The following is a 23,573-nucleotide window of genomic DNA, read 5'->3' on the forward strand; positions in this document are numbered from 1 at the left end:
GTGTAGCTTGATGGCTTCTTTTTTTTTTTTTTTTTGAGACAACATCTCACTCTGTTGCCTAGTCTGGAGTGCAGAGGTGTGATCTCAGCTCACTGCAACCTCTGCACCCTGAGTTCAAGCATTTCTACCACCTCAGCCTCCAGAATAGCTGGGACTGCAGGTATGCACCACCACGCCTGGCTAATTTTTGTATTTTTTTGGTCGAGACGGAGTTTCACCATGGTGGCCAGGCTGGTCTTGAACTCCTGACCTCAAGTGATCCACCCGCCTCAGCCTCCCAAAGTGCTGGGATTACAGGCATGGGCCACTGCACCCGGCCTTGTGACAGGTTTAATAAGCCTCTGACTTTTGAACTAATACCAAAATGGTGTATCCTAATTATAAATACAACCATTTTTATTGTATACCATAGTCACTAGGATGATAATTATAGTAAGAGATTTTGAAGTTGGACATAAGGTAAAATTGCTAATTTTGAGGAAGAGAAACCAAACTGGATTCTCAAAAATGAGTATTCGATCTACTCAGGTTTCTTCAGAGAATAGGTTCATCTGTCATTGTACAAAACTTGACAGCATGCTGTATTCATTCATGAGGTGGAGTACGAATGATGGCTTTAAGCTTCTTTCAATTTCTAGATCTCCTGTTATCTGATCTAATGTCTGACATCTCTATTACACCAAGTTGATATCATTTCGCTCATTTACTGGCTTATAAACAGTTGCTTACAGATAGCCAAGGAATTTCTTCACAAGTGTGGGTTTCTATTGAAATTTATCTAAAATCACATTGAAAGGAGTGGCAGCACATATCTGATTCGTGTGTAGCCAGTTGTGTGGCGTGTATTATGGCATCCACCTGGTTTATTTGAATATTGCCTTAACCCTGATTCTGTTTCATCCCTGGGACCATAGATCATAGCTTATTGCAGCAGCTGCTAATGGCCTTGGAAGGTTAGACCAAGGTTCTGCTCTCAAGAACTGTATGCCAGGCCATTGTAAAGTGCTCTGTCACAGGATAAAAGGACTAACCTCCAGTGTCAGATATGGAGTCAATTCTTAATCAATTAGGTTCCCTCTTGGTGAGAGAAGCCTCCTTTATTGGTTCCTGTGCAACAGAGTTGATTGTATTCTATTTGTGCTGAGCTCAAGTTTTGTTCCCCAGAGTGACATTGTATAAATGATGAATATTGTATCCCTGAGTAGTGAGTAGGATGCAACTCAGCTCTGCTGGGCTGGAACATTCCTGATGCAAACTGCTTTTCCTGACTCACCACCTGAAACCACTTGCCTGTCTTCTGGGCCTGTCACTTGCCACAGTGAACACCCATGTACTCTGGCGTCTGGGAGCAGGCAGGGCAGTTGCTGCCTCAGGGGAGTGGCTAGCACATCATTGCACATTTCTACCAATTCCCTTCAGACCTCTGCAGCTGTTCAGCATGGCACATGGTGATTAAGAGGCACCACGAGGGAGCATGTGTATCTATGTGCCTGTGTGCACGAAAGCTGATTAGGGCAGCCTGTCACAGCTTAAGAAAGATAATGGAGGTAAAATCATCTTCTCTGCCTAGACTATTATTTGACCTTCTCAGGGATTCCATAATATGACAATTTTGAGGAGTTGCTAGAATGCAGAGAAATAAGACTGAAGGTAAACTGCTAAGGTGTTTTGTTGGCTTTGATGACCTCCATCCTAGTTTTTGGAAATGGATTCACTTCCTGGATTTAATTCTGGATTAATGCCTTTAATTAAATTACCCATACTTCTCTTGGAGGCTTTGTTTCGTAATTTGTGAACCGGGACTATTACTTGCTTTCCTTCTCTCATGAAGTTGAGTTATGAGAATATAGGATGATGGTAGTATTTCATGTTTGTCCAGATGCCAGTAAAGTATATGGTTTGATTTTGCTTAATACTGTTTTTATATAGAATCTTTCATAGCCCTACTTTTTCAGTTATGATATATTCCTGGTTCTGAGGTTATGAGAAGTGCATCAGCGTGCGACTAATCTGACATCATAAGGAGTATTTTTCCCTTTCTTTGTTGGTTCTGCTGACTTTATTGCCTTTTCAACCCATTGCATGAATTCCAGTGTTATTTAATTAGATGTGCATGAGGGCTTTAGCTTTCAGAAGATGAGTATGTGCTGGTGCTAAAGGGTGTGTATGTGTGTGTTTCTAATTGAGAGAGTGGTAGAAGAATACTGTGTGTATCCTTGAAGCATTTTGGAAACTCCCTCAATTGCCATACTGCCTAGTAGAACTCTCTTCCCATCTCCTGTTTACCATCTGCCCTCTTTCACTAAAATCTTGACTAAGGAATATTCACAGCAAAGAGTTTTGTGTTAATTTCTTCACAGGCTCATCATGAAATGGAATTTGTAATAACTTTAACATGTTTTCTGGTTTTCCAGAATGATTTTCTCGCTGTGTGAATACGATGGTGAGACTGGTGTCCTTAGGCTGTGGTCTTCTTCTGATAGCAGGAGCAATCTTTTTCTGTGTTTATAATTTATTTCCCTTAACGCTTAGAGATCAGTTTGCATTGCCCTAGTCATTTTGCTTTCAGGAGAATAAGGTAGTAACTGGGATCTTCATTGGGATTTCCCTCCAGCTATCTTATAAAATATCTAAAGTTGAGACTCAGTATGGTTTATCCATGTGATACAGTTTTTTAAAATGACATATGAGTCATTTCTATAGCTCTTGTCCCTTAATTGCAGAATTTCTATCACCATGGGAACCATTGTATTTAAACTTGCAATTTGTTTGGACAACTGGAGTTTCAAAAATGATGGAAAAGATGGAATTGTAAGAAGCCAGAGTGCATTGAAGCTTCTGTGCTGACAGTAGATGCTCATTGTAAACTGTTCTATCATCAGAGACTGTCCTGAAAATATATGCCTATTGCTTTAATGTCCCTTTTACTATTTCTTTTGATGAGCAAATATTGGGGATGAGCCTCATTTGTAAACTAACAGCAGCCTTTTTGTGGCTTTCATGCCATTGAAATTTGTTATCTGAACTAACCCAGCTCTTTTTAGGCACTTAGAATTGGGCATTTTTCTTGATCAGTGCAGACATTTGGGAAGTTATGGGGCTATAAATCATTTAGTGAGTTATTTCAAATCCAGATTGCCTTAGATTGTTGTTCTCTTTTCAAAATCTGTCTTTCTTGAGGTATGTACTTTTAGGGTGTGGAGATGGAAATGATCTCCATGTGCACCAGACTTATAAATCCAGAATTTCCAAGACTAATCTCTTGATCTTCTGGTGGACATCTGGCTCTCCTCCGGTGTTATGGGAGTTACCCCATTATCTATTGCTATCAGACATCTTTGACACCCTTATTCCAGTCCCTCACCCACTTCTGCTGGATATGTATCTGAATGATTCCTCCTTTCCAGTGCACGGCGCCTACCTTGCTTATATCTCGTCTAGCCTGGACTCCTATGTGGCCTTCCTACTGGTTTTGCCACAAGAATCAGGGTGTTAGACTACCTCCTCGTATCAGTAATCCAAAATCAATCTGGAAATGGTTAATATATGTAATGATATTATCTCTATTCTGGGTAAATGTGCTTCTGTGAGCTAGGTTGGCAACCCAACTACTGTTTATAGACTTGTTTCTATAAAATAAAATAAAATATTCTAAATGTCTAAGCAGAGTTTTGGAGATGTGGCTCATTTGTAATTTGGTGGCTACCATTTTATGATTTTCATGCCATTGAAATTTCTTCTGTGAAGTAGACTATTTTTTTTGGTAAAGCATTTGATAGAATGCCGATTATATCTTCAAGGGTTAGGACTGCTGTTTATTGGGTTCTCTCTTCATAGTAAGCACTGAACTCTGAGAACTTTGTTTTCACTTTTAATTTTTGCCTCCACCCTGCAAGATCTACATGTTGTTCTGGTCTTTACAAGTAAAGAAACTGGAGCCCACAGAAAAGTACTTTACTCAGATGCCAATGCTTTTAATTGCTATGCTGAATTAAAGACTTTTAGAAATGTTTACTTCTCTGTTGTGTATACTGAGTCAGATATAGACAGGGTCGTGGTATTTTTGGAATAATGTCTGTTCCTGTATATAATACATCCTTTACATGCTGCAAGAAAGTAGATTTCTTCAGGTAGTCTGTGGCTATCAGGAGGTGGTAATAGCACTGTATATCTGCCTTCAGAGTGCTTTTAGCCCTCTAGACAGTATCTCATTAGTCTTTGAGATGTCCCTGTGAAGTTGTGTTTCATCAAGTCGTTCTTCAGAGAAAGCAGTGTCAGATTACATGTTCTTCGCCTAAATATACAGACAATGTGAAGTCCTCGATAACATTGCTAAGCCAATTTTGAAGCTTGATTTCTCTTTCTCTTCATTCGCTTGGCATAGGTGTGACTTCTGGGAGCATCAGGGAGAAAGGAAGGACAGGTGTTGCTTTTTTTTATCTTGGCACAGGGTCACGGAGAAGTTGAGGGGCACTGTAGGTGCTTGTTCCACTGTATGAGAATAGATCTCCGAAGGTACCGGGAGTAACATTGCTTAGCAGGACCAGTTTTTCACTCTGCTAGTGAGAGCTCTTCAAGGGCACACAGCTTTCCTGAGGAGGACTCCACCCTTCTCCCTGGCTATTTATCAGGGTTGTGCTTTTCCTTAAAAACACTTGTGTTCTGTCTGTTGCAGTGTGTTACCTAATCAGCTGTGTTAAGTACAAAAAGCTGGGATTCTGGGGATTCTTGTTCCTAATTACCTCTATTTAAGTTTGGATTTTATAAACATTTCTTTTGTCATCTCCACATTTTTCACCTCATATTAATTTGATTCATTCATGCTATGGAAAAGTCCTTTACATTAATGATCAAAGCAGGCCCTAAGGTTGTGAATGCATTGTGATTTAAATTGACAGGTTTATACAAGGTTGCTTGTCCTTGCCTCCTCAGTGCCAGCTGTTCGGTGTGGCTGTAAATTTTTTGAACAAATGACTGAAGATATTTGCCAAATTGAGAGCTGTTTTGAATGACTTGTAATTTCCGACCATGCATTTTTCTAGGAAGAGTTCTCCCACTTGGAAGTGGTAGTAATGTGTCAACATGCATTGGAGACCATGTTTCATTTTAGATGCTCTTTACCCTTTGGGTTTTGGGAAGGATCCTAATCTTTTACCCCTTGATTCTTGAGCTCTCTTGTAAAGAGAAGGTTGATTAACAGAAATGACTGGAGTTGCCTGTTTCTGGAAGCTCAGCAAGGTAGCTTTCTTCCTGCTGCCACCTAAATGGTCTTTTCGATAATGAGTTTTTGGTTGTTTGTTGTTGTTGTTGTTTTCCCTGCAGACTCTGAAAAGTACCTCTGTTCTTTGAGGACTATCAGGGTGTTGAGCTGAGCACACATTTCTTTGGTGAAGTGTGTTATTTGTTGTTGTTGTTGTTGTTGTTTTCTTGAAATGGAGTTTTGCTCTTGTGGCCCAGGCTGGAGTGCAAGCAATGGCAGGATCTTGGCTCACTGCAACGTCCGCCTCCCAGGTTCAAGTGATTCTCCTGCCTTAGCCGCCCAAGTAGCTGGGATTATGGGCACCTGCCACCACACCTGGCTAATTTTTTATATTTTTAGTGGAGATGGGGTTTCACCATGTTGGCCAGGCAGGTCTCAAACTCCTGACCTCAGGTGATCCACCTGCCTTGGCCTCCCAAAGTGCTGGGATTACAGGTGTAAGCCACCACGCTCGGCCTTGAAGTGTGTTATTTGTGTGATGTATGTTGTAATATCCTCTTTAAAAAGCATCTCTAAGTTAAATGAAGAAGCTAGAGTTTTCAACTGCGTTCCTGGAAATTTCTTCCGTATGCTCACCTGAGGGAAATGATTTATTAGCTACCAGAATCCTCGAGATTCTCATATCTCTGGGATATACTCTTATATTAATTTGCTTATTATTAAAGACTTTCTTACTTGGACTCCCAAGTTGCTCATATTTTTCTGGTGAATGTTCCCATATTTATAACATGATTTGTGGTCGGCTTGTCTTAAGCCACCCACTCCTGATCTTTTCAGCTGGGTTTCTGAAATGTCGTCCTTGGGGCTGGAACTTTCCATGCTTACTCTCTGCAAACCAAGATTTTATTTTAGGGGAGATTTGTGCTGAATCAGCTCAGCTGTGTTTGGGGGTAGGGAGAGGACAGGCTTTTTTTCCCACTTTAAAAATAACCCTTATGTGCCAAAAAACCCTATAAAATGTGCTGAATTGCAAATCTTCCAACTTCCTATACCTCCTGGTTTACAGAGAATAGATTCTTTTGAGCTTGGGCTTGATGATACTGTGCAGAATATCTTATGTTGTAGACGAGTGTGAAGTGAGGCTGGATGCAGATGTGCTCATTTGGAAAGGAAACCTGACTATTGCTATCTTTTTTCAGTATTTTTTTCTCCAGCATACGATCAGTTTTGTCCACTTACAAGGATCTATGTAGGGATACTAGATATAAATTTTCTAATGAGAAAAACGTTTTCTTGTGTATCTGCAAAATAACCCATATCATTCAGAAAGAGTCCAATTGGAAAGCACCAACATTCCAGGGTTTCTATGTAAGTGGATCTCTTTTTGTTATGCTCTGTAAAGTTGGGCTAATTGTTTAGGTTGCTTGAATATTTCTTTCCCAAGGGTATAAACAGTTTGTTTGCGTGTGAGAAGGTAGGATGCACAAGTGTCTGTTGGTTCTAAGGTTGAAATTTGTCGACTTTTTATAGTTGGGTGATAGAAGTGATATTTTAAAGGCTACATCTTCATAATTTGGGTCATGTAGTTGTAAGTTAAAAAATGAGCCCCTTGTTTTAATGTATTTAAAATCTGAGTGATACTTTTTGCTCTTATGTGAAAGAAATTATTTTTATTGACACCCAGAATTGGCTTTTTTTTACTTTTACCTGAGCAGTTATCTTCTTCTGGCAAAACTTAAGGTATCCCTAAAGTGTAACAGTTCTATCCCATGAGTATTGCTAGCTTGGACAGTCCTTCCTGATGTTTTCATGATGATATGTGTAGTGGGGTTGCACAGCATCTCCCCAGAATACCCATCCATCTCGAACCTTAGAGTGTGACCTTATTTGGAAATAAGGTCTTTGCAGATGTAATTAGTTAAGGTAAAATTAAGTGATACTGGATTATGATGGACCCTAAATTCATTGACCAGTATCCTAATAAGAAGACGATCTATAGCCAGGCGTGGTGGACTGCACCTGTAGTCCCAGCTATTTGGGTGGCTGAGATAGGAGAATCACTTGAGCCTAGGAGTTGGAGGCCGCAGTGAACCATGATCATGCCACTGGACTCTAGTCTGTGCAACAGAGTGAGACCCCAACTCTAGAAGAAGAAGGAGGAGGAGGAGGGGAGAAGAAGAGAAGGAGGAGGAGGACGAGGAGGAGTATTGGGCACAGAGAGAAAGAGACCATGTGACAGTGGAGGTAGAAATTGGAGTGGTTTTAGCTACAAGCCAGGAAATGCCAACAATTGCCAGGATGCACCAGCTAGGAAGAGGCAAGGAAGGATACCTCCCTGGGGCCTTTAGAGGTATAATGATCCTGCCTACACCTTGATTTTCAACTTGGAGCTTTTGGAATTTTGAGGGGGTAATTTGCGGTACTTTGTTATGGCAGCCCTAGGAAAGCAATTTAGCTTGTATCTGGCCACTTGACTCTTGGCCGAACCTCTTGTTTCTGGGTTTCTACTTCAGTAGTTAGTTTCTTTACCAAGTAATCTGTGAGATAGGGTTTGATAATGTCAGCATTCTTTCATCTCCGATTTCATGCCTGTTTTGTCTTACTTCCTTTATTTGTGTTTATTCTTTCTGTGAATACTCCTCCTGGGTGGTAATGCCTTCCCTCCTGCAGACCAGCTGACAGTTGGTGTGGAGGAATTGATACACCCAAGCACATTTCCAGTGTTGTCCATAGGCTTACCTCCAAACCAGTGTCCTGTTTTCTTTCCTTGAAGCATGAACACTGATGTCCACTTAAGAAGGCTGCCCTGTCTCATGGCCATCCCAGTCACAGGGCCTCCATCACTTCTACTTAGTAATTAGCAGCATTTTGAAATATGACACACCCTGGGAGAAATCATTCCTGGCAGGAGCTCTTGGTGAGCCGTGCTCATCCCATTCAAGGTTGATGAATAGAACATTAAGAATAATTAGCACAAGACTGTCTACTGGAACACTATCTCTTTTACATAGAGCATTATGTGGCACTGTGCAGGAATTTTCTTCAGTAACTATAGGAATCCCAGGTGTTCTCCTTAACCTGGCCTTTTTGGATAAGATATTTTTTCTGCAGCTTTGCCTTCTCACCTCTTCTGGCTTCAACAAGTGGGCTGGGCTGAAGAGCAAGTCCTCTGAAAGGTATTTGCTCAATAGTTGGTGTGCTTATTTTCTTTAGAACTCAGTCCCTGAAGCTTTGGTCATGTGTAAACACTTGCTATGTTAAGAAGGCCTTAATACGTTAACAAGTAACCTAGTAACACCAATTCATTTCTCAAACTCTTTTTTTTTTTTTTTTTTTGTAACAGTGTCTCGCTCTGTCACCCAGGCTGGAGTGCAGTGATGCGATCTTGGCTCACTGCAACGTCTGCCTCCTGGGTTCAAGCAGTTCTCATGCCCCAGTCTTCTGAGTAGCTGGACTACAGGCATGTACCACCAAGCCCAGCTAATTGTTGTATTTTTAGTAGGGATAGGGTTTCACCATGTTGGCTAGGGGTCTCGAACTCCCAATCTCAGGTGATCTGTCTGCTTTGGCCTCCCAAAGTGCTAGAATTACAGGTATGAGCCACTCCACCTAGCTAGTTCATTTTTGTTATTCATTCAGCAGATATTTTTTGGACAGCTACTCTGTGCCAAGGCATTGGGGATAGAGCCTATTTTTATAGTACTAATATTTTAGAAAACACACATAGTTGTTGGGTACCTTTGTAGAGGTGCAGTAAGGATGAATAAAATATCATCTCTGTTGCAAGTTGCTTGCAGTCTAACTGGAGTGAGATGACATCTGTTGTATAAGAAGTTGAATAAGAACAGATTTGAATAACTGGTAAGACAACAGAAATGTATCACTTGATGGTATTTGATAAATATTAATGCGAAGTGTACTGATTGTGGTTATCTTTCACAGATAGGAGAGGTCTCACCTGCTGGGTGACCTTATGTATTTAATGGTCTCAGCTTCCAGTCATAACCCTGACTCTTAGGAATAGGAATATTTCCCCTCCTAACTTCTTTCTCTGCTTATAGACTTGCCCTGTTTCTTCTGTCTATGCCATCTTGCAGATTACTATCACAATTGCTTTCAAAATGCGTAGACCTGACCACGTCACCAACTCTGCTGATACCCATTTGCCTGCAGAAAAAAAATCTGATTCCTTAAATGATTATATAATAAAAAGCAAAGGAAAGGCAGCTGTATATAAAATATTGTAACTTCAAGTGAGCATCTTGCTTCCATTTCCAGTCTGACTTCTGGCATTGCTGTCCACATAATATGTCACAAAGAACTTCTCACCATTCCATGGACATGCCAAGCCATTTCACAACTTCTTTCCTTCATACTTTTTTTTTTTTTTTTTTTTTTTTTTGGTCAGGAATCTTACCTCTGTTCTGTATTCCTGGTTCCCCATGTAAAGTCTGGTGTTCTTTGTCCTCCGATAATATTTTTGTGACCCTTTCTGTTGTAGTAGTTCCCAGGTCTGACCTTCCTCCCCACCCCTATAGGGCAAAGAGCCTCTCTTGTCTTTTCATCAGCTCACAGTTCCTAAGACTGTGCTTGACATTGACAATGACGTCGAGATCCTCAATAGATCTTTACAGAAGGGGTGGGATTTGTCCTCTGCTTTGTCATATGGAAGATTTGGATATGGAGAAGGCCTGTCATATAGCTCTGAGCTGGGGAAATGGTTTCCTTGTCACCTGCTTTTTAAATTTCCTCATACTGTTATATAATAATATAGACTTGGAGCCCTAATTCAGGGAGACTTTAGGTATAAGTACTGTCTGGTTGAAATACAAACCAAGACCTTAAAAATAGGTTGGATAAATATGTTTTCTTTTGTTTTGCTATGTGTGAATTGAAATTGTTGGATTATTGCTCCATCTGATTGGCAGCATGCTTGTTGCCTAGTGTGAAGTCTTCATGAGGGAAGCTGAGCAGTCACTCCTTAGTACTGTAGGTCTGATTTGGGGCTTTTCTGTGTCTTTTTCATTATTGAAACTGTGCATCATTAAAAATCACAGAAGGATTTACTCAACTAATAGGCAATAAATACTATTTTTTGGCTTGAATTCTCTATTATTATTTTAAAGTTCTAAGTAACTTAAGGTTGATGGACCTTGACTGAACCCTGCTGTTCCCATCTCCCTCTCAGCCCCTGGCTTGGGATTCTTAATGTTCCTATTCCCCAGTAATAGTGCAAATGAGTTGGAAGTCAGTACGTCAGTGCCTTGCTCCACTCTGCTGTGTGTGCGTTGTATGATGGACCTTTTTGCCTGGCAGGTTGCTGCTGAGCCCAGCTCCTCAGAGCCTGTCCTAGTAGAATTTGATGCACAGGGTGGGCAGTGAAACAGCAGAGTTTCCTCCACCAGGCTCGGTTTCCACCATCTCCAAACTTTTAACCACCATTTATTTAAAAAAGACACCAAAAGAAAAGCAAGGAAAGGAGAAGTAAAGAATGGAAGAAAGGAAGGGAGAAAGTCACAGAGGTGACCTGGTCTTTGATTAGAAGTTTAGGTGACCATGTTTTGGTGAGATGGTGTCACGTGCAGCTAGAGAGCTGGGGAGGCTTTTTTAGCTTTCTGATTGAATCTCTCAACATTTGAGTGAGAAAATCATAATTTGATGGTCTCTGCATTTATGACACCTCCATTTCTTCATTTATAAAATGGACATCATGTTTGACACCTCTAATTCCTTGTGTTTGTAATAGTATAGGGAGAGAATGTAAGCAAACAGTCACATTAGGAGTAAATTTGAGCAGGGCAAAATGGAAGGAACTGTTTTATTTCTTCAGGGTGGAACTATAGAAGTTAGTACTTCAAATGCAGACCTGCAGCCTTGTCCAAAATTTGTCAGGCTACATAAAAATGAAGAGATGAGACATTTCAGTGACCTCAGAGTCAGGAAGATATGCAGTTGAAGATTGTGTATCATCACATTCTTACACTTGGGATGAATTCATTTCTTTCATTGTTCCTCATTTTCTTAATTTGGAATATCCAAAGGATACTTTTTTCTACCCTCTAAAAAGATGATCTTACTAAGGTATCCAGAAAGACTCAATTTGTCTTCCTGGTATTTCTAATCAGATTCTGACTTAACAACATTTACTTTTAAAAATGTAGTTTTCCTAGTATTGACTCTGAGGAGGGCCACCATAAAGAGGCAGGTGGCCCCACCTTGTAGGATGGGCTGGAGGTAGAAAAATTCAGGAGTCTGGAGTCCTGGCCTGAAGTGCATCTAGTCTTTGTTCACCTCACCCGCTTTCTATTTTGGCCCTTAGTTAACCCCTCTCTAAAAACAGAAGGAACCAGCAGGCCACCTCTGAAGATCATTTCATAAACCCGTTTGAAGATTTGTTGCCCGGTTTTGCATTGATTGGACTACTTTTAGGGTTCCAAAAGTTTAATCTTTTTGTCATCAAAGATTGTTTTATTTTAAATATCAGTGAATTTGATGAATACTGATGTGATGGCTATGTGTCACACACAAACCCCTGAGTCCTGTGGCCACTGGGTGATTCTTTGAACTTACTGTGAACACTGATTGTTAAAGGCCTGTTTGCTGAGAATGCTATAATGTAAATCTCTACTGTTTCTGTGCAGTGACTTTAATTATCTTAATCACCCATTATGCCCGCCTTCTCCCAACCCCTACAAGCTAGGAGATTGAATTCATTCTTTCTCCACCTCTGCTTATGTTACCAGGTTAGGGTCAAAGCAGATCTTTTTATCTGAAATGTTTAAGTGGTTAGGCTGGGGTTACAATTCAGTTAGTTACTGGGGAAAGGAATTGTTTCCTCTTTTTCTAAGATGTGTGGTTCCCAATGGTTTTCTCTCATTTGAGGGCTGGTGGTGGTTTCCTTCTGTCATTTGTCAGTTCACTACATTTTGAAATAATGGCTTTAGGAATCCAGTGCCATCAGAATGATTGACTTCTTGACATTAGCCAGGTGCTTTTTCACATTTTTCCCTAGTTTCTCCTATTGCTAGTGGTGGAGTTTGCTTGCTGTCGGCAGTTTGGAAGCAAAGCAGCATGTAGTTTGAACTCCACAGCATGGGAGAGTTTTTGAAGATCAAAGACAAAGATGAGTCATGTTGCTGTTCTTCGGTATTTCTGCTTTGGTGTAGTTAATCACAGCTTTCCAAGGGGCAAATGGTAATAAGATCACTAAGTCTAGATAGATTTATGATGTCTCAACATTCAGAGACTGAAAGTAGAATTGATAGTCTTTTTTACGTCACAGACACAAACTTCCCCTTCCTTTCTTTCTCTCTAACCTCATTTTCTTTTGTCCCTCTCTATCTTTCCTTTTTCCCCCTTTCCTTCTGCCTTCCATTTTCCTTCCTCCTCCTCAAAGTTTCTTAGACCTCCAACATGAAATTGTCAAAATGCTAAGCTTGTAGTAGCACTCACTTTCCAATGTGTATGCTCCATCTGCCTTTATGTCTGACTTGGCTGTTGTAGTGGATCCCTGGGACCTTTCTGACCTTAGCAAGGAAAAAGTGATTTGCTAAATGCCATTTTTTCTTGTTTCTGTTCTTCTTCCAGCAGCATGAAGCTTGGTTGAGTACCAGAGTTGACAGAGTATTAGCTTTTCTCTGAGCCAGGTCTGCTTAAGTTTTTGCTTGATGGTTCCAGTTTATTGTTGGCCTTGGATCCTCCCGAATGAACACTCAGAATGTTCTCAGCGAGATGATATTGTGTAGTACATTTAGAACTCTCTGCCTTCTTTAACTGTCATTTTCCATTGTTTTTGGAAAAGAGAAAACATGGACAAGGAAAATGTTGTGCCAGTCATTCCTCTTAGTCCAGGTTTCCCTTCCTGAGGAATTCTAGTTGATGGGCCAGTGTATGTGTGTCCTTGCTGGGTGCTCTAATGATGCAGTAGCCTGATGCTGCCCCAGGCACAAGTAGCATGCGGGGTGCTTGGCCATTGTTTCAGTTAGCAAAAAAATACCTGTTTGGATAACACTGACCTGCTTCAGAGTATGTTGTTTTCCTTGGATGACCCAGCTTTCTGTAATTCACCTTTGGATTGGATTGTTTTTTCCTGGACTCCATGTCATCATCTCTGCTCTCCAACTGTTGTCTCCAGGTTGATGGGTACCAGTACAGGATTGATTTCTCTGTGTCCTTGTTTTTTTCTGTTTCTTTCAGGGATTGCTTTTTACATTGGGATGATTTCTGTGGTCAGGCAAAGGTACTTTTCCTTACAGGATTTTTTTAAATTTAGTTTTTAAACTGCCAGGAAGATATAATTTTTAAAAAATTTTTGTTTTATGTAACATAACTTGTTCTTTACATTTTAAAAATAGATGTAGAAAGGATGTGTTAAAAAAAAAATAGCTGCGTAGAAAGCACATATATGGATAAAGCAGTGATTTTAAAAAATTTTTCTTCTAAAGATTTTAAAAGTCAAATCAAGAAAGTAAATGAATTTGGTTGTTTTATTGCCGAAACAGACATTTTGACGTCATTTGGCAGGAAAGCCATTATGGAAACAGGTTATTTTTTGACAAGCTATTATATAAAATGGGCAGACATTTGAATTATTTAACATCCCTTTTATCTTTTAGACATTTTTATTTATGGGGAAATCAATATCATTTTAAGGTTTTTCTCTTATGTATTCATTTTTTATTTTAATTATTATTTTGAGTAGATAATGCATTTAATTGGTTTAAAATTCAAATGCTAATAAAGGGTATAAGTTAGAGACCTTTCTTTTGCCCTAGTCCTTCACAGGTTCATTTTACCACCCAAGAAGCAATTAGTATTACGATTTCCTTGTAAGTCCTTTCAGGGTTATTTTAGGCCTACCCGGGAAGATACGTTTGTGGGTAGGTATTCTCCCTTTTTACACATATACTAGCATCATAAATAAGTTTAAATTTCATACATACCACCAAAAATAGTGTCTTTGCATTTGTGTTTCAATTCTATGTGCTTACAAGTAGTAAAGGATTATCATATTTGATCTGTACAACTTAGAGAAAGCTTGCAACTTTCCCGTAAAATTTTAGTCTAGTTTTCTCTATGGCCATAATTTTCCTACTTGAAAATGCAACTGTGAATTCTACTAATACTGGTGATATTGTTCATTCTGTCTTTGTTTATGATACTGCATTTTTTTTGCTGTTTTGTTTTAAATAACATTTACTGCTCATTTTTTCAATCATAAAAGCACTTGTTTATTCTAAAAATGTTTTTTGAAAAAAAGAGAAGATAAAGGGAAAAAACCCCTACCATTCAGGGTAGCATCTGTTAATACTTGAGTGTGTATTACTCTAATCCTTTTTTAAATGCACTTGTGTTTGCATAATTTTCAACTTAGCTAGTAATTATATGTTACTTACTGTTTTGTAACCTGCAATATGATGGTTTCTCCATGTCATTAAATAGTCTTCTACATGAGGTACTTTATCATTTAATATCATTGAATGTTTAATCAATATCCTGTTGTTGGCTATTTGTAGTGGTTTAGTGTATGGACTTTGAAACCAAATAGACATGAGTTTGAATCTCTGGGGTAGCATTACCTAAATCAGTCCTGTCATGACCATTAAATGAGGTAATATACGTTAAGCATTTAGTGCAGTGCTTGGGCACATTGTAAGAGCGTAATCGATAACAGCAAACTACTGAGTCAGGGTTTAGGAAAATTAAGAACAGAGAGCAGTACACAATATGACAAATAAAATGAACTAGTTCTGGGTCCTGATAAGGCTGAGTGAGAGACAGAAGGGGATGAGCAAAGTGAGCAGTGTGGTTGGGGGAGATACAGAGTGAGTTCTTAAGAGGAAGAAGGCAGCCAGCCTTATTTCCCTTAAACCCCCACACCTCCTAGTTGCTTTCAAAACCAGTCCAGCAAGATTACAGTCTATTGCGTGTCCCTCTTTAGGAAGTCTTTTTCCCTCCCAGGTGCTTGGTTCCCCTGACTAGGATGTTATGAGTCTGGGAGGAAGTGGGAATGGCCTTGGGAAGGGGGAGCTGGGAGAGAACTCAACATCTTATTTCCTTCTTTTCTGAGTTTCTTGACACATTTTTCACAACCAGGTAAGGTTCCCATGGGAATTGGCGGGACATCTCAGGGGGACTTAATTTACTGTGACCCAAAAGAAACTAAAGAAAGGGCAAAGTATGCACCCTACCAGCAGGTTTTTTAAAATCCAAGTTTCTCTGAAAGTCTCAGACTTACTAAAGCTCAAAATTAAAGATTCTCAATCCCCTGAATTTACCTGTCTAACCATAAGTTTGTTTGATCATCAGTTAGGAACAAATGTTGGATGCCTTGCCTCTCTCAACATTTTCGAGCTCTGCAAATGAACGCTCAATTAATTAATCCAGCATTACAAACTGTTCTTTTTTTTTTCTATTCACTTTGACATATTTGCTTTTAAAAGTCAGACTTAATTGAGGAGGTATTGGCGAATTCAGATATTGATCAAATTTAGATAATATTATAAAGTGAGTTTATTTCTAATCCCATAGGTAGCATATTTTGTTTAAAGTGACCTTGATATTTAAAGTGAAAGAGAGATTTGTTGTGATTTATGTTATAGAGTGATGCATTTTATTTACTCATATCATAGTCAACACTTAAGCAATGAAGGATTTGCGCTGGTATTAAATATTGAGTATGACGACAACAAAATGAAGCAGAAATGCTGCTTTATTAAAAAATGTAGGCAAACTTTTTAAAAAAGTAAATAACTACTTTTGTAAATGCAGTGCTATATTTTTATACTATCCTTTTCCCATGGTGGTATCTTTAAGTTTCCACTGATTTTAAATAATACCCCTTTCAAAATTAAGTGCATATTGACTGCACTAGGTGATAGAAAAAAATCTGATTTTATATACATCCACAGCAATAGTGTTATTTGTCATCTCAGAAAACTTATCTACCAGTTCTTTTAATTCTTCAAGGAAAGGCAGTTGGTGCTTTGTTCTTGGGAAAGTATTGAGGTTTTATTTTGTTTTTATAAGCCATATTCCGTGATGTAGATGAAATCTGTTTTCTCTCCTTGTTCATTGGAGACATAACAAGTGTTCAAGGCCACCTCTGTGGTTTTCCTTCTTGCTACCTGATTCTTGATAAGTTGTTTATTCTAAGGACTGAAGCAATTAGGTTTGGGATCCATTTCAGCTCTGTATAGCCTAGAATGAAAATTCTGATCTTTATCCATTTTCATTGTCCCAATTACTTTATCTTTTCTTCTCTTCCGTCACTTCAGCAAGAGTAGCAGTCCCAGTGCTAAAAAAAAGATGGAGTATTCCTTTAATGTTTGCACATATATGAGACTCCTCATGCATTCTTTTTTTTTTCAGCTTGCTTTAAAAAATACTTGATGAGCAGTGGAATGTCATCATTTTTAGTAGTTCTAACCATTTTGCTGTTGTTTACCATCCTGTTTTCTTAGTTCCTGACCTTGGAAAGCTTTACAAACCTCTAATCTTCATCTTCTTTGTGACTAACCCCATTGTCTTCCACCTCAGATGGTGTATTTGCCAAATTTTTGGTCTGTTTTCTGGAATGTATGTACAACTATAATAGTTTTGTTACTTGAAAGGGAGTAGAAACATGTGGACACCGAATAAAAATTGGTGGGTTGATTACAAGCCAGCTGGAGAATTATATGTAGGGAATCTAATCTCCCTTATTGACAGTAATATATGTGTCACTGCTTTTTAGAAATGACAGTTACTAATGTTACCTTAAAACATATATTTTTTTTAAATAAGAGACAGAGCCTTGCTCTGTCACCAAGGCTGGAGTGCAATGGCGCGATGTGGGCTCACTGCAATCTCCGCCTCCCGGGTTCAAGTGATTCTCCTGCCTTAGTCTCCTGAGTAGCTGGGACTACAGGCGCATGCCACCACACCTGGCTAATTTTTGTATTTTTAGTAGAGATGGGGTTTCACCATGTTGGCCAGGATGGTCTCAATCTCCTGACCACATGATCCACCTGCCTTGGCCTCCCAAAGTGCTGGGGTGACAGGCGTGAGCCACTGCTCCTGGCCACCTTTTTTTTTTTTTGAAACTGAATTTTGTTCTTGTTGCCCAGGCTGAAGTGTAGTGGTATGATCTTGGTTCACTACAACCTCTGCCTCCCAGGTTCAAGCAATTCTTGTGCCTCAACCTCCCGAGTAGCTGGGATTAATAGTGTGTGCCACCATGCCCAGCTAATTTTTGTACTTTAGTAGAGACGGGATTTCGCCATGTTGGCCAGGCTGGTCTTGAACTCCCGACTTCAGGTGATCCGCCCACCCCGGCCTCCCAAAGTGTGGGATTACAGGCGTGAGCCACCGCACCTGGCCAGAACATACCTGAACCATGAATATCTTCCATGTCTCTTCTGTATTTTTTTCTGATTATAAAAGCAATATATGTTTATTATGCTAAGTTTGGCAAGTATAAAGGAAAAATAAAAGTAATTCAAATAACATTTTGGTGTATTTTCTTTCACTTATACATTTATATTCTAATCTGTCTGTGTGTCCTTTTTTAAAATGGACAATGGAGGCCGGGCGTGGTGGCTCATGCCTGTAATCCCAGCACTTTGGGAAGCCGAGGCGGTGGATCACCTGAGGTCAGGAGTTTGAGACCACCTGGCCAACATGGCGAAACCCCCATCTCTACTAAAAATACAAAAATTAGCTGGGCATGGTGGCAGGTGCCCATAATCCCAGCTACTTGGGAGGCTGAGGCAGGTGAATTACTTGAACCTAGGAGGTGGAGGTTGCAGTGAGCCAAGATTGCGCCACCACACTCCAGCCTGGGCCACAAGAGCGAAACTCAGTCTCAAAAATAAAATAAAGTTGACAGTGGATTCTGAACATCTCCTCACATCCTTAAATAAACTTTTATGTATTGATTTTAATGGCTTTATGTTATTTTATTCCATGAGTATATAATTTATTTAACTGGTGTATGTTCATCTTATTTTTTTTTGAACTATGGTGATGTGGTTTTATTTTGTTTTAATAAACAAGCCATACTGTATATTGGTATCAACTAGATTCACTAAGCCCTACAAAATTATAGTCATCTAGATTTGAGAGGATGTAAAGATTAGAAGAGTTAAAGACAAAAATCTTCTATGTCTATTTATTGACAGTGTTGAGCACTTTCTTACATAGGATTTGGTCATTTAAGAAGCTTGATAGATTTTTCCCATCCTTTTATGTCCTTGTATTTTATCTCATTGAAAAAGTCAACGTTTTTTGTTTCCTGGGGTTTTACTTCTCTCATATTAAACCTTAATTTCATTCCCTTTTTTATCTTAAATACCATTTAGCCTAGGTACTAATGATTAATTTATGATTCCCTTATTTTAAAACAACATAGCAACAAATACTCCCTTTTTTAAATTTTTAAAATTTTTGACGTGCTTTTATATAGATCAGCAAGAGGTATAGCTGTAGAGTGGATAGTTTTGGAGAGAGCCAGAGTCATTAACAGAATTTGGAGGTCTCTGTATGTCAGTCTTCTTGTGGACCACCCTCTTAGCCATCTCCCTGTGTCATTCATTTCTTTTAAAGGGTAGCTTCTAAAATGACTCCAACTTGGAAGGCCCTTGGGCTGGCCTTTCCAGACTGAAGTTCAATCCAGGCATAAAATAGACTTTCTTTATTGAAATGATGTTGATACTATACCTTTTACGTGGTTTCCTATCCTCGCACTTCAGATATTATTCTGATATTTAGGATCTTAGTTATAACTCTTTTAGTAACTAGATGTTTAAACTTGGGGAAGCCACATAACTTCTGAATCTGTTTTCTCTTACAGTGTATGAGTGCTCTAGGTGATAACTGTGGCCCTTTTCATTCTGATTTAAAGTAAAGCTTTCATTTTAATTTATCCCTTAAAAGCTCACTTAACCAATTAAGAGTTGGAATTTAAAATGAAATCTTCCAATAATTAAATCGTTAAAAATTTAAATATTGATCATTTTTTAAAATTAATTTTTCCTATGCAGATACATTTTGTGTTTACTGTTTTATAACCTAGCCTAATTGCAAATTATGACTTTGCAATTTATATTTCACATCTCTTTCAAAATACCCCTTTTCATAATTTGGGGGCAAATTGTTTAGCTTCTGTGAATGATTAATAACTCTTGTATTGTCATTGTAGATGTTATTGATGTATCTTTCCACCGCTCCCCAGCCCTATTAACTATGGATTGTTTTTCTAGACTTTTTAGCCCAGACTTATCATTGGATATTACTTAATTTATTCTATTCTTATGTTTATCACGATGCATATTCACAGGAATTATAGCAGATGTCACTAATCAAATACTTATTAGATCTGATATGGCATTTCATTTTATAATCTTCTGTCAGTTTTAACCATTTATTATGCGGGTTTTATTAATAAGTATCATTTTATTCTCAACATGCCTATGCATCTTGGTTTGTCTTTTACAGAGAAAAATAAAGGAATAGTATATTATGCACCTATTTTTAATATTTCAGATGTAATTATACTAGATATAATTAACCTGAAATGTAGTTGTTCCTTAATACATTTATTTGCATTACTTTTCTGGGTGGTTTCTTTAATAACATATATAGTTAGCATTTTTCTTACTATTTTTCTAATGTAGCAAGTTTTTTTGTTTGTTTGAGGCAGTCTCGCTGTTGCCCAGGCTGGAGTGCAACGGCATGTTCTCGGCTCACTGAAGACTCTGCCTCACAGGTTCAAGTGATTCTTCTGCCTCAGCCTCCCAAGTAGCTGGGATTACAGGCGCCCACCACCATGCCCGGCTAATTTTGGTATTTTTAGTAGAGACGGGGTTTCACCACGTTGGCCAGGCTGGTCTCAAGCTCCTGACCTCAGGTGATCTGCCTGCCTCAGCCTCCCAAAGTGCTGGGATTACGGGTGTGAGCCACTGCGCCCAGCCGCAAATTTCATTTCTATTTCCTATACCTTCTGGTTGTTCTGATATATATATATCAGAATATATATACATATTCTTTCAGTGGTGGGGCTTTGGATCATTCCTTTACTTTTTTTTGAGATTGTTTGACCACCCTCATTTAGAGTGATTTCTGTGAAGATCTTGGACAGCGATTACAGTAAATTCCTGTCTGTAGTTGGAAACCTCATTTGAGGATTTTCTAGTGTTTGAAAGTTGGTACTTTTGTATAATCTTGGTTATTGTATCATGATGCTTCTTTTACTGCCTGGGCATTTTCTCTGGAACTGCTAGAAATTTTGGCTTTGTTCTTCTTTCTTGTAGAGTTGTCTAAAATTTTCTGGAAAATCTATAGTGTCAAAATATTATTAAATATCATCACTGCTTTCTTGGGCTGGTCTTTTGATAATCAGGATAATAAATTTATAGCTCAAAATGTTACCTCCAGAGCAAACACAATTCTTCTATTCTTGAGGTATTGACTTATCTCCTGGGCTAAAAGACCCAGAGACTTTTCTTTAATAGCCCAAGAATAAAAATTATTTCCATATTAAATCATGGAGCAGAGCTCCCTGGGTCATTTTTGTTTATTGCTTTACTCCTGTCTTGTAGAAGAATTTATCATTAGTTTTCCACCTGACCTCTTAGAGGTAGGGGCGGAAGAGGAGTCAGCTTAGCTGATCTGAAGAGCATCACACAGGAAAGACCACAGGTGATGCATCAGGGAGAGATTTGTTGCTGTGTATACTAGCGATACATTCAAACAGGGTATGTATTATTAACTAAGATAGGAGAGTCCTTAAAACCCGAATTACAGTCTGGTTCGTTTGAATGAGTATGTGCCAGGAATCTTGGAAGCAAATGCAGCAGATGAGGGAAAAGCCTGTAGGGATCCTGCCCCCTGCCCCCTCCCCCACATAGTTTAGATCTGTGTCTTCTTTGCATCCTGAACAGTGGCTGTACTCTTCATCTGGAGCAAAGGACCTGCTGTGAGGCAGTTTCATTTCCTCTGAGGTGATTGGTAGGTTGGTTTATTGTTTGGACCATCCCTTGAGACACTGAAAGATTTCTTCCTCATTATGAGAGACTTTTAATTTAAAAAAAATGGATTTGGTTGAGGTTCTCTGAAGTGGACAGATTAGGAGATTAAAAGACTCCTTTTATATGATTTGACTCTGATAGCTTAGTTTGTGTTTGTCAATGAAAACTCTTCTCCTTAGGCCACTGACTGCTCTCAACTGATTCTCAACACACTTTCTCTTATTATTAAAAATATTATTACAAGATTTTTTATTAAAGTGGTTCTCAGCATACTTTCTCTTATTATAGCTGCAGTCTCAAAAGTACACCGTAGTGGATAAACAAAGTATGGTATATCCTTACAATCAGTACATTCTGTCCTAAAAAGGAATGAAGTCTGCTGTATACTTCAGCATAGATGAACCTGGAAAACTTGTCCCAAGTAAAAGAATTTAGACACAAAAGACTGCATATTATATGATTCCATTTATACAGAATTTTTATAGGGATCTATAGGTGGTTGATGGTTTCCAGGGGCTAGAGGTAGGGGAAGTTGGGAAAAAGAAGTGACTGCTTCATGGATATAGTTTCTTTTCAGTGAATTGGATAAGCATGATGTTGCACAGCATTGTGAATATACTAAAATCCACTGAACTGGTACACCTTAAAATGATTGAGATGGTGGATTTCATGTTACATAAATTTGATCTTAATTAAATAGTAAATCTGTATGTTAATGCTGTGGTTGCTGAATCAAGAAGGCCTTGGTGGCCGGGTGCGGTGGCTCATGCCTGTAATCCCAACACTCTGGGAGGCCGAGGTGGGTGGATCACATGAGGTCAGGAGTTAGAGACCAGCCTGACCAACAAGGTGAAACCCCATCTCTACTAAAAATACAAAAATTAGCTGGGCGTGGTGGTGGGCGCCTGTAGTCCCAGCTACTCAGGGGGCTGAGACAGGAGAATTGCCTGAACCCAGGAGGCAGAGGTTGCAGTGAGCCGAGATTGTGCCAAGAAGGCCTTGGTGTTTCTTGGTGCTAATGCTGGTTGGCATTTTAGCCAATTGGTTAAGTGTTGGTGAGAGTGGGGAGAGGAAGTACCTTATAATTGCACCTTTGAAGATAAGCCCTTCTACAGTGCCAAGTATGTTCCTCTGGATTCTGTTCCATGTTTCCCTCACTTTTCTTCCCCTGGTAGGATTACATCATATTTATCATTGTTTATTTGCTTTTCTATTTGGACATCTTTCCATAGCAGAATATATCCTTCTCTTAATGATCCTCCTCATTAAGAGAAGTATATATGTATCCAATGACCTTTTAATTCATGGAAAGTGCTGTTGGATAATCATCTTCACATTCTCATTATCAATGGGAATATGAGGGGTTTGGTTAACCTGCTTGACTGATTCCAGTCTCTTGTGCATTCAGTATCTTTTACCTAAACTCTACTGAAACTGTTCTTCCCTCCCTCTGTTCAGAAACTAGCTCCTAGTTTGCTGTCTAGGAGTAGATAACAAGCCCTATATTTATTTTGAGACTCTCTGGGATATATAGTTATAAATGTATGAGTTAGAGTTCTAGTAAAAGGGGCAAATTGGGAGGCAGTTACATGAACCCTATTTTTCCATATTATATTCTCTTCATCAGATGATCTGCTGCTCAGAGAAAGGGCTCCATGAACATGAATTCTTGACTTCTGATGCCACACCCTGTGCTTACCTCAGTATTAAAGTAAAAAACAAAACTCCATGGTTTTTATTGACTGTACTGTGTTGGTTAAGGGAGACAGAATGAATCCAGTTTGTTCTATTGGGAAGTCTGGGTTCCTTTTCTACTCTGCTGATGAGAAACAGGATCAGAGGGCACAAGGGGGATGGGGCACAGCCCTTCACATATTACCAGCTGTCTTAGAACTGGCTGGCTAACCCACTGCAAAGTGTTGGGTCTTAGTGAATGGTCAGTAGGCAAAGCATTATTTTATATCCTTCTTCCACTCTTTTCCAGCTCTCTCTGAAGGGCTGCAGCTAGGTATAACAAACATCAACCAGTAGTATTAGATTGTCAGTGATCAGCATGCCAAAATGCAGTTCCTTGTTACGTGACAAGTAGAGAAAACATATGGCAGGCAGGTGGTGGTGGCAGGATCATTATCAGCTCAGAGTGAGATTGGCAGTTCATTTGCAGAGAGTGATGCCCACCTGCCATGGCAACAGTACACCACTGGGCACCCAGAAGCCCTCATGATCATGTCCTTCTAACAGTGTTTAGCCTGCCCTGCATAATCCTTACTGGTTGGCAGACATTACTGAGCAGTGACCGTGGCCTCAGTGTGGGAACTATTGTGATGAAACAGATGCTCAAAGGTGAAGACCCTGCTTGTGAGGAG

General features: G+C 39.3%; 1 protein-coding gene across 2 annotated transcripts in view; it reads left to right on the forward strand.

Annotated features, from left to right (window-relative positions):
* The window catches only part of SND1 (staphylococcal nuclease and tudor domain containing 1), a 440,400-nt gene that overhangs the window by 155,952 nt on the left and 260,875 nt on the right, over positions 1 to 23,573 (forward strand). The gene's annotated exons all lie outside the window — the stretch shown is intronic.

Source organism: Homo sapiens, chromosome 7 (genome assembly GCF_000001405.40).
Source record: "Homo sapiens chromosome 7, GRCh38.p14 Primary Assembly".
NCBI lineage: Eukaryota > Metazoa > Chordata > Mammalia > Primates > Hominidae > Homo > Homo sapiens.